General features: G+C 56.5%; 1 protein-coding gene across 6 annotated transcripts in view, besides 2 other annotated features; it reads right to left on the minus strand.

Moving 5' to 3' along the window:
* CACNA2D2 (calcium voltage-gated channel auxiliary subunit alpha2delta 2) overlaps positions 1–14,962 on the minus strand; it is a 141,632-nt gene that overhangs the window by 62,415 nt on the left and 64,255 nt on the right. For all 6 annotated transcript variants that reach the window (NM_001291101.1, NM_006030.4, NM_001005505.3 and 3 more), the window contains exon 3: positions 9,286–9,402. In NM_001291101.1, the coding sequence (NP_001278030.1) occupies positions 9,286–9,402 (117 nt within the window). The remainder of the gene's footprint in view (positions 1–9,285; positions 9,403–14,962) is intronic.
* Positions 6,954–7,534: an enhancer, noted in NCBI's record as "H3K4me1 hESC enhancer chr3:50469412-50469992 (GRCh37/hg19 assembly coordinates)". NCBI's record gives its function as "activates a minimal SCP1, AML or CMV promoter by ChIP-STARR-seq in primed H9 embryonic stem cells {active_cell/tissue: H9 hESC(primed)}" and the evidence as "EXISTENCE:reporter gene assay evidence [ECO:0000049][PMID:30033119]".
* Positions 7,535–8,115: an enhancer, noted in NCBI's record as "H3K4me1 hESC enhancer chr3:50469993-50470573 (GRCh37/hg19 assembly coordinates)". NCBI's record gives its function as "activates a minimal SCP1, AML or CMV promoter by ChIP-STARR-seq in primed H9 embryonic stem cells {active_cell/tissue: H9 hESC(primed)}" and the evidence as "EXISTENCE:reporter gene assay evidence [ECO:0000049][PMID:30033119]".

Genomic DNA, 14,962 nt, shown 5'->3' on the forward strand with positions numbered 1-14,962 from the left:
TATTTTAAGGCACAGAAAGTGGGGCCAGAGAAGTGACTGGCCGCTCCCAGGGCCATGCTTCCACAGGGCCAAGCTTGTGGATATGCAGCTACCACCCCAGAACTCAGGCGTAGAACCCTGTGCCCTGCCTCTGTCACCCCCACACACCCTCTCCCCTGCAGTGGAAACTGATGCCCAGGCCAAACCTTCCAGGTTCCCCTCCCAGCCCCCAGTACTCCCATCTCAGCAGATTCAGCCTGAGTCAGTTCTGCTCACTCTCACTGCTAAGCCAGTGCCCAGGCTGGGAACTCTACTAAGATGCCTTCCTTCTTCCTTTCTTCTATCTTTGGAAATTCCACCTGCCTTCCAAGGCTCAGCTCAAATGCTACCTCCTCCAGGCTGTCTTCTTAGACTTGCCTGTCCCATGTTAGCTGCTCTGCACATTGGGACCCCACAGCCTGTTCCCCATCTCCTTGAAGTCTGGGCCCGAGGGCAGGGATCATCCTGGCCACCGGCTCGCCCTTCCTCACATGCACCTACCCTCCCCCAGCCTCGCACACCAGGATTTCAGAACGAAGGGCCAGACACTATTAAAACTCAATTAAAATTCTTACTTCTCTGATCCTAAATTAGGCTGGTTTGTCCCTGTGGCACCTGCAGGCCCTTTCCCTCCACCTCTTTGCATCTGCTCCCTTCGCCACCTGGGACCCCCGGAGAAGTGGGCACCATCAGGGGATCCTCCCTCTACGCAGGCCTTCTCTGGGGAGTGGAGACACATACATCTCCCTCCCTGGGGTTCATTTTCTCCATTCAACGGACTCTCATCTCCCTGTCCTGGATTCCTCTCCTCTGGTGGTGAGGTGCAAGGGTATTAAAAAGGAAACTCGGGGCAACAGCTCCCAGCCTGCACTTGGAGCCTTCTCTGAGTGGGACTGGCCATCCTCTCCAGCTGCTCCCCAGCAACCCCCAGTCGAGGTCCTGCCTCTAGGCCCTTGCTCATGCTCTGCCCTCCACCCGGCTTTCTCACCTTCCCTTCCTCCCCTGGCCTTCCCCTTTGCCCCAGTCAGCACCACTCTACTTCCTCCCAATCCCTGGGAGCTCTGGGAGGGCAGGTACACAGGCTCAGGAGCCAGGGTAAGCAAGGGGAACTGTGACGTTGCCTCACCCAGGCAGTGACCAGGGTTGACATCTAGTCTCCGACTCTGTTTTCTCATCTGTAAAACGGGCATTCTGCCCCACAGCAAGTAGAGACTGGAATCACACAAGGCCTAGGGCCAGGCTGGGGCAGCAGAGGTTTGCTGAATGACTGAGTGAGCAAGTGAAAGCCAGGGAGGCTGCATGGCACTCCCAGGGGAGGCACCTGGCATCAAAAGCAAGGCCGTAGGGTGGGACAGGCTCTTGCAGTGAGAGCTGGGCCTGGGGCAGCTCAGCCAAGGTGTCCCCACAGGAGGTGGGGTGACACCAGTCAGGACACCCAAGGTGTTGAGCTTCCAGGCCCGACACATGCCTGCAGTCAATCCCTTCCTCTGAACTTCAGCCACTAGGGAGAATTCGGTGGCTGGGTACAGGTGGTGGGGCTGACCCATCAGGCTCTGTGGGCCTCAGGAGTGTTGCACACCAGCCCCCTAGACCCTTATTTTGACTAGTAGGTGCTAGTCAGGAATGATCACAGCGCTTCTGACCCCTCCTGAGGTCCCTGCATCTTGGAGGAGGTCCCAGGAGAAGGGCCTGCTCCACGGAGCAGTTTCAGGGGCCAGAGAAGCTTAGCCCCAAATCCACAAGTCAACCTTTCCCAAGGCCTGGCAGGCTGGGCCAGGCCCTTGTCTGACCACCACTAGCTCAGGCGGGTGGCTGAAGACAAGAGAATGACTATTTCTCTTGAGGACCCTTGGCCATGTCCCAGCCATGTCCCACCTGCACTGTCTCCCTTGACCTTCCCAGGGAGACCAGCTCCCAGCTGGAGGCCTTCAAGGGGTCTCAGGATTCTCGACTGCCAGACAGAGATGCAGGCAGGGGAGGCCGTCCCCACACTCATGTCCAGCTGTTGGGGGTAGCGTCTTTGCCCAAGGCTCACGCTGACCCCAGGGACACTTGGGTTTACCGTCCCTTCCGCAGACATCCAGGCCACCTCGTCCAAGGAGCCCTCTCTGACTCCCATTCCTTGGTGGTCGCTCTGCCACCGCATGCTCCCTGGTTTCTCCTAGCGTTCACCACCAAGTCCCTTCCTTATCTCCTTGCCAGCCAGCTCTTTGGCTGCCTCCCTCTGTAGGCGGAGGGCCCCAAGGGTGCCCACACAATGGGTGTCCAACAGATTCCCAATCCCCAATGCTTCCCCCATCCCTGGGGACCCCCAGCTGGCTCCTGTGGGCGGCAACTTGCCAGGAAGCAGCGGCACTGTTTGGGTGAGGGGAGAATAATCAGCTGTAAACGCCGCAATCAGGGAGAAAAGGCTGCTTGGGCGCTTGGCGCCCACGCGTGCGCCTAATTGGCTCCACGTGTCTGCGGCTCCTTTCCAGAGCAGGAGAGTGGAAGGGTCAAGATCTCTTAATGTTCATAATGGAGGGGAGGCAGAAGCCATCGCCAGCCCCACATAAACACCTTTTAATTGCCCAGAGAAGGGTGGGAGGAGGCAGCCAATGCCACAGGATTTCCTGCCTGTCCATCTACCATTACTGCACCTTTTAGAGCTTCCCTAGTGTGGAGTCAGATCCCAGAGGCTGAGCCCCAGCCACAACCCAGAGCCACAGCGCTGGCAACTGTTCTACAAATGTTCACCAGTTTGCAGAACTCGTGTTCTGTTCCAGGCCAGGCCTTGGCAGTAGGCGACATCCATGGCCTGGTCCTCCAGGGGCCAACCTGTTTGTCTCACCCTCGTCAGTGAATGCACCCGTGGACTCAGCTGAACTGGCCTCCAGCTGCCTCAGTGCCAAACTTTCCCCAACATCTTGCTGCCTCCTCCAGGCAGCCTTCCTGTGACCTCTTTGGACTGAAGGGATCTTTCTCCTGCTGGCCCTTCTGCCTGCACCTCTCCGAGGCCCCCAGTATCTCCCTGCTGTGGCTCTCATGGCTGCATCTCTGTCCCGTTAGGCCAGTGGTTCTCAACTGGGGCAACTTTGCCCCCAGGCAACATTTGGCGGTATTTAGAAATATTTTTGGTCATGACAACTGGGAGAGTGGTGTACTGCTGGCATCTAGTGGGTAGAGGGCAAGGGTGCTGCTGAACATCCCACAGTGCACAAGGCAGCCCCACCGCAAAGCAGGATGCAGCTCAAGATGTCAGCAGTGCCGAGGCTGACGCCCTGCTTTAGATAAGGCTTTAGAAAGGAGGTGGGAGCTGGGTAGGATGGTCTCCTTCCTGACAAAGGGAGCGGTCTGCTGCCCCACAGTCCCTGACTCCCTCCCTGGCTCACACCTCCTGCCCCTCTGAATGCCCAGCCCAGAGCCCAGTTCCTGAACAGACCCGGTCACACTGCCAACAATGCATCACTTTAATTGGGTTAAGTGGCCATTAGCAGCAAAAGCAGGGCGGCTGTGTGCAGAAGGGTTTTTAATTTTACTCTTTAAATGATGCTCATTCCCCAGAGAGGCCACCAATGGTGGGAACAATGCCCACTGGAGCCCCTAGAACCAAGGCCAGAACTGCATGCCGCCCCCTCCCATCCATCTGAGCCTCATGGGGGTGTGGGAGGGGTGCTCAGTGTCTTGTCTTCACTGCCCAAGGAAGAAACTGAGGGGGCAGGGACTTGCCCAAGGTCACTAGGTCATCAGAGAGCAAGCCCCTGTCAGAGGAAACCAGTGTCCCATCTCCTATTCCCTTGACCCTGTCCCACTCTGGACAGCAAACACCACATGGCCACTAATGGTAGCACAGAGGAGGGCAGTGGCTGGGGAGCCATTTGTGGGGTCTGGAGCCCAACTATCTGGATTTAAACCCTGGTTTTGGCCAGGTGCCGTGGCTCACACCTGTAATCCTAGCACTTTGGGAGGCCGAGGCGCGCAGGTTGCCTGAGCCCAGGAGTTCGAGACCAGCCTGCGCAACATAGCGAAACCCCAGCTCTACTAAAACACAAAAAAATAGCCAGGCATGGTGACACACACCTGTAATCCCGGCTACCTGGGAGGCTGAGGCATGAGAATTGCTTGAACTTCGGAGGCAGAGGTTGCAGTGAGCTGAAATCCCACCACTGCGCTCCAGCCTGGGTGACAGAGCAAGACTCTGTCTCCTAAATAAATAAACCCTGGTTTTGCTGTGAGACCTGGAGCAAGTGGCTTAAGCTCTCTGAAGCTCAGTTTCCTCAAAACGTAAAATAGAGAGAGGAGAGTAACCCAGCGACCTGTGTGAGGATTCAGAGCAATACAGAGCATGCAGGCTTATTTCAGGTCCGGCACTTGGTGGGCACTCAGAGGCCAGTAATCCTGGGAAGTAAAGATTTCGACCATTTTCTGGGAAAAATCCTGAACTCTGGCCGGGCGCGGTGGCTCACGCCAGTAATCCCAGCACTTTGGGAGGCCGAGACGGGCGGATCACGAGGTCAGGAGATCGAGACCATCCTAACATGGTGAAACCCCATCTCTACTAAAAATACAAAAAAAAAAAAAAAAAAAAAAAAAAAATTAGCCAGGCGTGGTGGCAGGCACCTGTAGTCCCAGCTACTCGGGAGGCTGAGGCGGAACAATGGCGTGAACCCGGGAGGCGGAGCTTACAGTAAGCCGAGATCATGCCACTGCACTCCAGGCTGGGCGACAGAGTGAGACTCCGTCTCGAAAAAAAAAAAAAATCCCTGAACTCTGAATCTACACAGAATCATCTGTGGCACGTTAAAACATCCTGATGCCCCGCCCCTCCACCCCTGCTGACCCCCCGAGAATCTGATGCGCTTGATCTGAAGCAGAAGCTGGGTGCCATAATTTTAGAAGCTCCTTAGACAATTCCAATGTGCAACCAGGGTTCAGAAATGCTGCACTAAGGCAAAGGTCTGACCCTTAGGACAATGGGAGGGACCTGAGGGGCACAGGCATGTTAGGAGGGGTGCTGGGCTTAAGCCTGGGGCTGGTGTCTCCAGGTGCTAGATTCCTAGCGGGGCCTCCCACCACCTCTGGTTTGTTTGAGGAAGGAGGCAAAAGGGCCTCCCGGAAAGCAGGTTTCTAGCCACCATGTTGATGTCCTTCTGGAACCTGCTCTGGCCTTGCTGTCCTAGCCCTGGGCTTCCCTTTCTCTAGGAACCAAGCCCGCTGAGCCTCGATACCCCTGGCTGTGTCTCTGAGAGGAGGCTGGAATCTCTCCCACTGGGGTCACCCCTCACCTAATCCTGGGCAGTACCTTCCCTTCCCCCATGGCCTCTCCTCTGAGCCACACAGCACAGGATGGTGCTGCAGGGGCACAACCTTCAAGAGATTGTTCACACTGTGGTCTTTACAAGTTGACGCCCCTGGAGTTGTGAAACCAGAAGTGCTGGGCAGGGAGGGTGCTCATGTCCTTATTTCATAGGGGGAGAAACTAAGGCCTGGGACAGCACTGGACTGAGAGTTCCACAAGGGCAGAAACCGGGCCTGTCCTTCATCACTGCACCCCCAGCCCTGAACAGGGCATGGTAAACAGTAGCCATTGGCGGATGTTGGTGAACAGATGGAGGAGGAATGTAATGATGAGGGGGTGGTCTTCCTGAGAGCCAGGCTGTAGACTAGGACCCAGCTGGGAGGGCAGGAGAGTCCTGATTTGGGTCCAAGTCTGCTATAAGAACTTAGGCACCTCCCTATTCCTCCCAGGACTCAAGACTCTGAGAGAGTGGGCCTTAGTTCAGAGGCCCCCATCTCCCTAGGTAGTCAAAGTTCCAAGACAGGTACCCCTCCATGTCTCTGAAGCTGAGGGCCCGGCCTGTTTCCCAGACTTGGGGATGCTGGTTGCTTGCATTGCAAGGCCCCTGATCTGGCCTGCTCCCTCCTGACTCTTGGCCCCAGCAACCACCCTTTGCAGCTTGGAGAAACTCGTTACAAACATCTGATTGTCCCTGATTAGATGAGACAATGAACTTCCGTCCTGTGTTGCTCAGCTCCCTCTTTGCAAGCCCCCAATTAGAATTCCAGCCCAGAGCAAAGGATTTAAATTGGATTACTGGATGGGGTCCAGGGAGAGAGGAACAATGTAGTGGGGGGTGGGGGTCCAGTCCCCCAACAGCCCTCCCTCCATATACACTCAGACTGCAAACAAATGTGAAAAAGGAGAAAGGGACCAGGACTTGATTAAAAGCACATTTAAAACATAATTAAAACCAAAGCTCATCTTCAACAATTAGGACCAAGCAGGGGGAAGGGTGATCCTCCCCCTCCTCTGGGGATATGGGCAGAAGCATCTCGTGTGTCTACAGCCAGGGGTGCTGCAGCAGGAGGAGTTCACTGCCCAGGAGCGCTGGGAGGCCATGAGCTATGGGCTCAGTGCACGCCTCAGGAATAATGTGGGGGAGTCAAGGGGCTGGCTCAGAGTCAGGGAGACCTGAGTTCAAATCTTGGCTCTGCCATATCCTGGCCTGATGCATGGCACCTCTGAGTCCCAGTGTCCCCCTCTGTGAAGCCAAGGTAGCCAGGGCTTCCTTCTCCGGGTTGCTGTGAGAATGATGCATGATAGACTCAGCACACGGTGAGTATCTGTCTGGTCAGTACATGCCTTTCCCCATCATTTCTCATAAAAAATAATTTCTGGGCCAGATGCGGTGGCTCAGGCCTGTAATCCCAGCACTTTGGGAGGCCAAGGTGGGTGGATTACCTGAGGTCAGGAGTTTGAGACCAGCCTAGCCAACATAGTGAAATGCTGTCTCTACTAAAAATACATAAATTAGCTGGGCATGGTGGTGGGCGCCTGTAATCCCAGCTACTTGGGAGGCTAAACCACAAGAATCACTTGAACTCAGGAGATGGAGGTTGCACTGAGCCAATACTGCACCACTATACTCCAGCCTGGGTGACAGAGTGTCTGTCTCAAAAAAAAAAAAAAAAAAAACAAAGAAAGAAAAGAAAATAATTTCTGTTTAGTGCCGACTGTCCCAGGCCATGGCTGGGCTGCAGGTGCAGTGGAAGGGAGAGACATCTGTCTCCCTCACATAGCAGAGTCCAGCAAGGGGGGTGCAGGGAGAGGGTTGGGACCAGGACCTCAGGCCTTTGGCTGCTCCTCCCAAGCTATCGGAGTTGATTGTTCCTTTAGGGGTGGGGGAAGTGGCTTGGAAAGAGACCCCAGCCCTGTGATTCCCAAGGGGCTGGGCAGGAGGCTGGGCCCTGGGCTCCACGCATGGAGGGTGGGTCAGGCGTCTTGTCTCTGCCACCACTCAGCACCCCTGCTGTGCCGGCCTGGCTGAGTGGCAGGCCGAAAGGCCTGAGGGCTGTCCCTTCCCGCATTTATCAGACAGTTCCAACACAAGTTCAGGGCTGGGTGCCCACATTTGTAAACTGGACAGGGGGCAGCAAAGCTAGGAAGTAGTGTGCAAATGAGGGGTCTGGAAGGAAGTGGGGTGGAGACAGGGTCGGAGAACAAGGGAAAGGCAGGAGAAGGGCATCCAGGCACGCCCAGTTCAGAAAGGTGAGAAGGTGGGGCGCGATGCACTGGCTGAGAGAGGCGAGCGTAATGGGCTGCTATCCCTGCAGAAGGCGTGGCTCTGCCTGCTCCCCGCTGTCTCCCACACTCATGTCCAGGAGATCCTGAAGGGTGGGTGGAGCCCTGCTCTGGGTCCTCTGGGTGGGAGGTCCTCAGAGTCCACCTTCTCTGGGAAGCTGGCCCCAAGAAGCAGTCTCCACCTATTTCATGGCCCCAGGTCACATAGGGACAGGCAGGGGATCCCATGGGGGACAGCAGGGCCCAGCTCCTGGAGAAGGAAATTCTGGTTCTCTCTTGGGGACTGGATATGGCAGGGTGTAGGCTGGGGTGGCCACCCTGACTTAACCCAGCCAGGACCCTGGCCTGAGCCTGGGCACAGCCTGTGTAGACTTGCTCATTTAAAAAAACTGCTTTATTGAGATACAATTTATACACCAGCAAATCCACCCAAATAAAGTATACAATTCAGTGGTTTTTAGTATATTCAGAGTTGTGCAACCATCACCACAATCTAATTTTGGAATATTTTCATCACTCCGAAAAAGAAACCCTGTACCCATTAGCAGGCCTTCCCTATCCCTTCCCTTCCCAGGCACCCATGCATCTACTTTCCATTTCTATGGATTTGCCTATTCTGGACATTTCATAGAAATGGGATCACACAATATGTGGTCTTTTGTAACTGACTTCTTTCACTTAGCATAATGTTTTTGGGTTCATCCATGTTGTAGCAAGCAAGCATCAGGAGACTTTATTCCGTTTTTTTTGTTGTTTGTTTTTTTTTTAAAGAGATGAGGTTTTTACTCTATTGCCCAGGCTGGAGTGCAGTGGCATGATCATGGCCCACTGCAGCCTCGAATTTGAAATCCTGGGCTCAAGCCTCAGCCTCCTGAGTAGCTGAGACTACAGGTGTGCATCACCATGCCCAGCTTTGCTCCTTTTTATTGGATTAGTTTGTCTTTGACACAGGCTGGAGCAACTGCAGTTATGCCTCTGATCTGGGGGGAGCTTGGATGCCTCTCACTCATTTACGTATGACCTTCCCTGGTCACTTGGCAGCTGAGAAGCCCCATCCCACCTACTCTCCCTGGGATGGGCTGAGTGTCAGGGGTCTGCCTGCTTTGTCATGGCAGCCCAGCGCATTCCTGTTACCCCTCAGAACTATAGTGGTCTGAGGCTGACAGGCACAACCTCTCTGAATATAGAGGCCCAGATGGGGGAGCAGAGAAACATTCAAAGCCATGGGCAGAGCAGCCCCCATCCTTACGTGGCCTTCTCTGTGGGGCTTGCAGAGCCCCCTCGACACTCCCTCCAAGAGAGCCTGCAGCCTACCTCAGGGGCAAACTCCACCAGCAGCAGGTCACTATCCTGGCCAGGTGCCCATCCAGGGCACCACCCATAAACAAACCTGGGGACCCAGAGGGATGGGAAAACCCCAGGCCCGGAAGGAGGGAGGGGTAGGGCCTGCCCCAGTCCCAGCCTCAGGATCACACAGAGCCCCAAGACTCCAAGTCACCACCTCTCATGCAGCTACTCCAGATAGTATCATCCTGTTCCTGCCGCAGCTGCCCACATTCCACGTGGGCACAGCCCTGCTGATGTTGGCCCAGCTGAACTCAGGAGGGCCACGTGATGAAGGCTCAGGACACTGCCCTCATGGTACAGGACCTCTCCACCTGGCCCTCCCTCAGTGCCGCCCCCCTGCCCCCAAAACACACACCTACCTTCAGGGCCTGCACCTTCCTGTCCAGAAGGCTCTCAATGTCCCCTGCCACCTTCTCCACCAACTTCTGAGGCTCATTCTCCTGTACCTCGAACAGGTTCCGGTTGTCCTTGTAAATCTGGAAGGAAGCAGAAGCCAGGGGTGAGACCAGGTGGTCCCACGTCCTCATGCCATGGGCCCTGCATACCCCTCTGCACAGCTCACCTCAGCACAGTATTCACCCGCACCCAGACCCTGTCTTTGGCCTCTGAGAGAGGGCATGGAAGGCCAGCGCCCCCACAGACTTGAAGGCAGGGCAAGGCCAGGGGCTCCGTAGCTTGCATCTGGGATGAGGGCCCAGTTTAGGCTGGTCATTGTGGTTGGTGGGATGGGGTTGTCACTGCCTTCTCTGGGCCTCAGGGCCCCCCATTTCAGGGTCATGAGCAGCCCTGCCCCCGACTAGCTCAAGGTAACTGTGAATAGCAGAGGGGAAGAGTGGGCTGGAGAGGAGGCAGGAGGTTGAGGCGAGATGGAGTCAATAAGCACACACCACATACCCCATCCCAAAAAGAAGATGCTCACGCCCATGCATGGGCACACACACAGCCATGCCTCCACGCTGCTCAGGCATCTGGACCCTTTTTTGTGGGTGCTGCCCCAGGGCACTTGCAGGAACTAGCAGGAGCTCTGGGCAATCCCACGGGCTCCTCTGTCATTCAGGGCACAGAATATGGGGAATGGGCACCAGGGAGGAAGGGGCAGGTTGGGGAGAATGAATCTGCCCAGCCTTCCTCCAAGGGGGGTGGGTCTGTGGGCAGGTGCATGTGGCAGTGTAAATCTGAGGGTGTGTGTGTGTGTGTGTGTGAGGGCTCAACATATCCGTTTGTGTGCACGTGCCTGCGTGTTGGGGCTGGGGTGGGGTGAGGGTCTCTAACCCCCCAGGGGCTTGTGAGTCTTAGGAGCAGATTTCTGCAAGTGTCTTTGTTCACAGCTGGGTCTTGGGTGTGTGCGTGTGCGTGTGCGTGTGTGTGTGCATTTGTATGCATCACATACTGCTGCATGTGTCTCCAAGCCTGACTGGGTCCATGTGTTCATTCAGGTGACCCAAGGAGGTCTGTGCCCCAAGTACAGGCTCCTTCACCACCAGAGGTCACAGAATAGGCTGCCACGACTGAGCCGTGCCACCAGGCTGAGCAGAAGTGGAGGGATGTGGAGAGACAGAGAGGAGGTGATGAGGGGAGATAAGGAGGGGGGAGAGGCAGCCGATGAAAGACAGACAAGCAGAGAGAGATAAGGTCGGTAGAGTGACAGCGAGAAGGCAGGGAGATAAGACCCTGTCATCTGACAGGGGGATGGGGTGGGGGGGTTGGGTGCTGCTGGAGCCCCTGCTCTGCTGCTACCCAGTGCCTGGCAGTCCAGGGGTTAAAGCACCACACAAAGCCAGCTCAGGCAATCTTCTCCTCCTCCCGCCACCCCCATCCCTCCCGGCTTCTCTTTTCTTTTTGTCCTTCTTTTAGAACAAAATAATTTGTGGTGAAGTCGCTCCTTCCCGCAGAGTAGTGGCAATAAGGGGGCGAGACTTGAGGCCTGGCCACATGGCCAGGGAGAAGAGAGGCCCCGAGTGAGTGCCAGGCCAGGATGTTCCCTGGGCCCCTGGGCCCTGCCTCAGGACAGACGTTCACAGAGGGAGACAGTGTTAGAGACACAGGGTGAGGAGGGGTCAGACCCTGAGGATCACTGAGGAAAGGCAGGGAACCTAGAGCCTAGCACCTTACTATTGGGGAAACTGAGGCACAGAAACAGGAGAGGGAAGGTCAAGGCCAGGCGATTGAGTGGCAAAGCCAGATCCCCCATCAGCTTTCACCCATCCTTGACAGATCATTCTGGGGTGTGTGGCCATGGTCTCAGCCACATCCACCGATGCCTCTGGAGAGTGGTGCCCCGACCCATTTGCACCAGCAGGGGGCACTGCTGCCCGGCTTCTCCTGGCCTGGGATGAAGTTCATACCTCAGACTCTGTCAAGGTCATTACCAGGTGCAGCCACAGTCTGGGCTGTCCATGGCTGTGTACAGCCCCAGGACCTGAGGCAGGACCATGTGGTTCTCCTGGGAAAGTCCAGGAGTCCCTCCTCTTGGGCTCCAGGGTGCCCCTTGCAGCCTGGCATGGTAACTGTGCTGGGGATCAGGGGGCTGCAGAGTGAGTGGGTCTCTAGGTGGCAGGCCCACACCTCAGGGCACCAACAGGTGACATGAGGCCTTGGAAGCTGAGACTCTGCCAAAAGTCACTCATCTCTGAACCTCCGTGACTGATCTATTAAATGAGAGAACAGTAGTACCCACCTCACAGGCTGGGGACAGCAAACCCATGCCTTGAGCAGCCTGTGCTGTTGTTACGGCTATTAGTTTGGGATCACCAGAATTCTGCAGATGGAATCATAGTCCCTCCCTGCCCCCACTCTCTCCCTGCTAGATCTGTACACTTGGGGCTGTCCAAAGCCATCGGCTCCATTCCTGAGCTGGTAGCCTCAGTTTCCTGGGGTCTGCCCACCTCCAGCCCCACCCTGTTCTCCCAGATCGGTCTGGGCAGTCTCCCACACTGAGCCACCCTGTCCTTGTCTCCGACACCTTAGCCTCAGCCCCAGAGGTGATAATGGTGGAGCCTAGACACTGGGACGCCACTGATAGGGCACAGCCATGGCCAGCTTCCTTCTCTCTCTCCCAAGCACCATGTCTGTGTGCAGTGGACACCTGGCAAATGCATATGCTGGATTCTATGTCCAAAAGCAGAGCTCTGGGGCCAGCTGGGCCCAGGTCTGATTCCTCAACTTCTGCCTGCGGCTGCATGAGCCCTCGGGGCCCAGGGATGCATCCACCGTGTTTTCTTCCTGTTCTATTTCTACTCGAGGACCCACCACAGCATCTTTCTGCCGACCCTGGTCTGGGTCCCATCAAGCCCACTGACCTGTCATGTGCCTGCAGGCCTCTGGGTCTCCAGCCCAGGCCAGTTCCCACAGCTATACTTTGACTCACGCTGTCCCTGCATCCCCTCCACCTTGCCCTGCTATCTAAATCCTCTCTAGGGCAAGGCCAGGGAAATGGGCTGGAAGGGGTTTCTGCTGAGAGGAGAGCAGAATCCCAGAAGTGCAGGGGCTGGTCATGCTGCCAGCCAAGCCTGCTCCCCAATCCCAAATGAGCCCTTGAGGTGCAACAGTCCTCGAATGATAGCCCCTAGTGCCACAGCCCTCCCCCTCAACATTCCCCTGAACTTGCTCCAATTGTTCCTGTCTTCTAGGGTGGGCCCTGAGCTGAGCCCCAAATCCCCAGGAGATCTAAGTGACACAGCCCAGCAGATGGTCCCATCCTGGGAGAAAGGTCATCTCTACATTGATGTGGTCCAGGGAGGTGCTTTCCACCTGCAGGCCCAGCAGGAGCCCAGGAGAGCCCAGGGCAACTCCAGTGCACAGACTCTGCCCAAGACTAGCCCCACTCCAGCCCCAGCCTCTAGCCCTGGCTCCTAGGGCCAGCTGGGAAGTGCAGAAAGGCCAGGGTGCACCGGATGCAGAGCCTCAACCACCACAGCAGGATGGCAATGCCCACTGATGTCCTTGGCCCAGAGAGTTAATTAGAAAAAGCCAACTGCTCCCACAGCAGCACAGCCGGCACAGCCCCACCTCTGCTGGACTAAGGAGCACGACGGGGCCCAGCTGATCCCAGGGTGCCCCAGCTCTGTGCCAGCAGTGATAGGGAGGGAGAGGCAGCAGCTTTAACCCACAGAGAGTGCCAGGATGCTGGTGGGACAGGGTAGCAGACTGGAGCCAGGTGGGGATGTGGGGGAGGACTGAGGAACAGGGAGAACAGGGGTGGCTGAGGTCCCAAGGGACAATTCAGGAGTCTGTTTGGAGCCCCTTGTTCCCAGGAATTCCTGGTTCCCCCCCTTGTTTCATGTACTGGTGACCATGGCTCAGCTGGTGCCCTCCTCCCTTGAGGGCACTCCTATCCCACCAGTGATGGAGACCTGCCCCTCCACCTCTCCCCTCCCCCAGGGCTGGCTCTAGCTTCAACCCTCTCTCAGCTCTAGCAGTTCTTCAGTTAGGCATCAGGGCAAGTCCGGCCAGCCCTCCATCCTAGGGCTTCACAGGGCCGTGGGGGCTGATGCCTCCTTAGAAGCCCCGAACCCTCTGCCCAGCCTCCTGCTTCCCCCATGGCTCCGTGTAAGTGGGAGGCGAGCCTGGAGGACCCTTGCAGGAATGGTGACCTTGGACAGGAAGCCTGCATGCTGGCAGGAGCAAAGGGAGCCAGCCTCGTTCCCACAGCTCCTAACAGAGCTGCCTGGGAGAGAGGAGTCCAACTACCAGCCCCAACGTGCCTGGAACATAGAGACAGCCACCACAGGAAACTAAAGGCCTCAGGACAAGTGACCTGGGCAGGCCCCAATCAGAAGGCATTTTAGAAAGTCAGCAGCAAGGGAGCCCAGACCTGAGCTACCAGCAAACCTGCCTAGGGCAAGGGGGAAGATGGAAGGGGAGAGGAAAAGGAGAGAGGAGAGGGGAAAGGAGAGTGGGGAAAAGCAAGGAGGAAGGGCCAAGGAAGCTGCAGGAACAGCCCTGTTTGCCCCGAGTGTTAGCTCTGGCTGCTCTGGGGCAGGTGGTTTACATAGATGACATCACTGATCTCCTACAACCCCTGAGGAGGGTCCATTCTGATCATCTCCATGTGGCAGAGAGGACACTGAAGGCCAGAGAGGTTAAGGCGCATGCAAAACTGCGGTTTGAACTGGGTCGAATCCAAAGCCCTTGCTTTAGGTCATACTCTTTGTACAGTTCTGTACCCCACCTTTATCCCTAAACTTGAAGGCAAAGCCATGGGAAAAGAGGCATAGGGATGAACTGGGCAGGCCTGAAGGGCTTGGGGCGGATGCAGGCAGAGGCTGAAAGACTGAGGCCCCTGGAAGGTGGGAGGGCCATGCTGGAGGGGAATGAGGGGAAGACTGGCAGGGCCAGCCCAATCGACTAAGCACCCACCCAACCCTGGGAGTCAAAACAGGCACTCGCACGCAAGGCTCCTCTCCGCAGCGAAGGTGAACAGCCCTAATCTCTGGAAAATTAAATCAGAAAGAAAATGGAACAAGAAAGATTTGACGCAGGCTTGGCCCTGCTGCCAGCTGTCTCCTCAAAGACCCAGCTCACCTTGGGGTTTTGCCAGGTGCTCCAGCACCCCTGGCCTGAGCCCCGAGGCATGACTCCGGGGAGACTGGCGCTCCAATCCCCTCACCACATTTCACCACAGGGAGCAGCCAGGTGAAAGTCTTAACTGTCCATTAGGCCCCTGCAGGGAGGGCAGCCAGTGGATGAGAGACTGTGGGCGAGGCCTCCTGAGGCCCAACCCAAATAAACAAGCCCTGGGGAGGGAACCACCTCAAGAGGCCACAGGGTCTGCAGTTGGAGGCCGGGGTCAGCTGCCAGACTGGGCTACACTCATGTCAGGGATGTTGGGTGGGTGGCTAGGGGGCTTGTGGTGGCTCAGGAAGCCTGAGCTGGGCCAATGAGGTAGGGCGATTGGCGACAGGTAGTGACCAGTTCAAGGACCCTAGCCAGTCAGGGTAGAGCCAGGTCCGGGCCCCCTGCCTCACCCACCCCTTCTAGGCTGCTAACCTGGCCTTCTGCCTCAGTGAGAAAATAGAGGGTATTGACATAACTGCA

The sequence above is a fragment of the Homo sapiens genome, chromosome 3, assembly GCF_000001405.40.
Source record: "Homo sapiens chromosome 3, GRCh38.p14 Primary Assembly".
NCBI classification, from domain to species: Eukaryota; Metazoa; Chordata; class Mammalia; order Primates; family Hominidae; genus Homo; species Homo sapiens.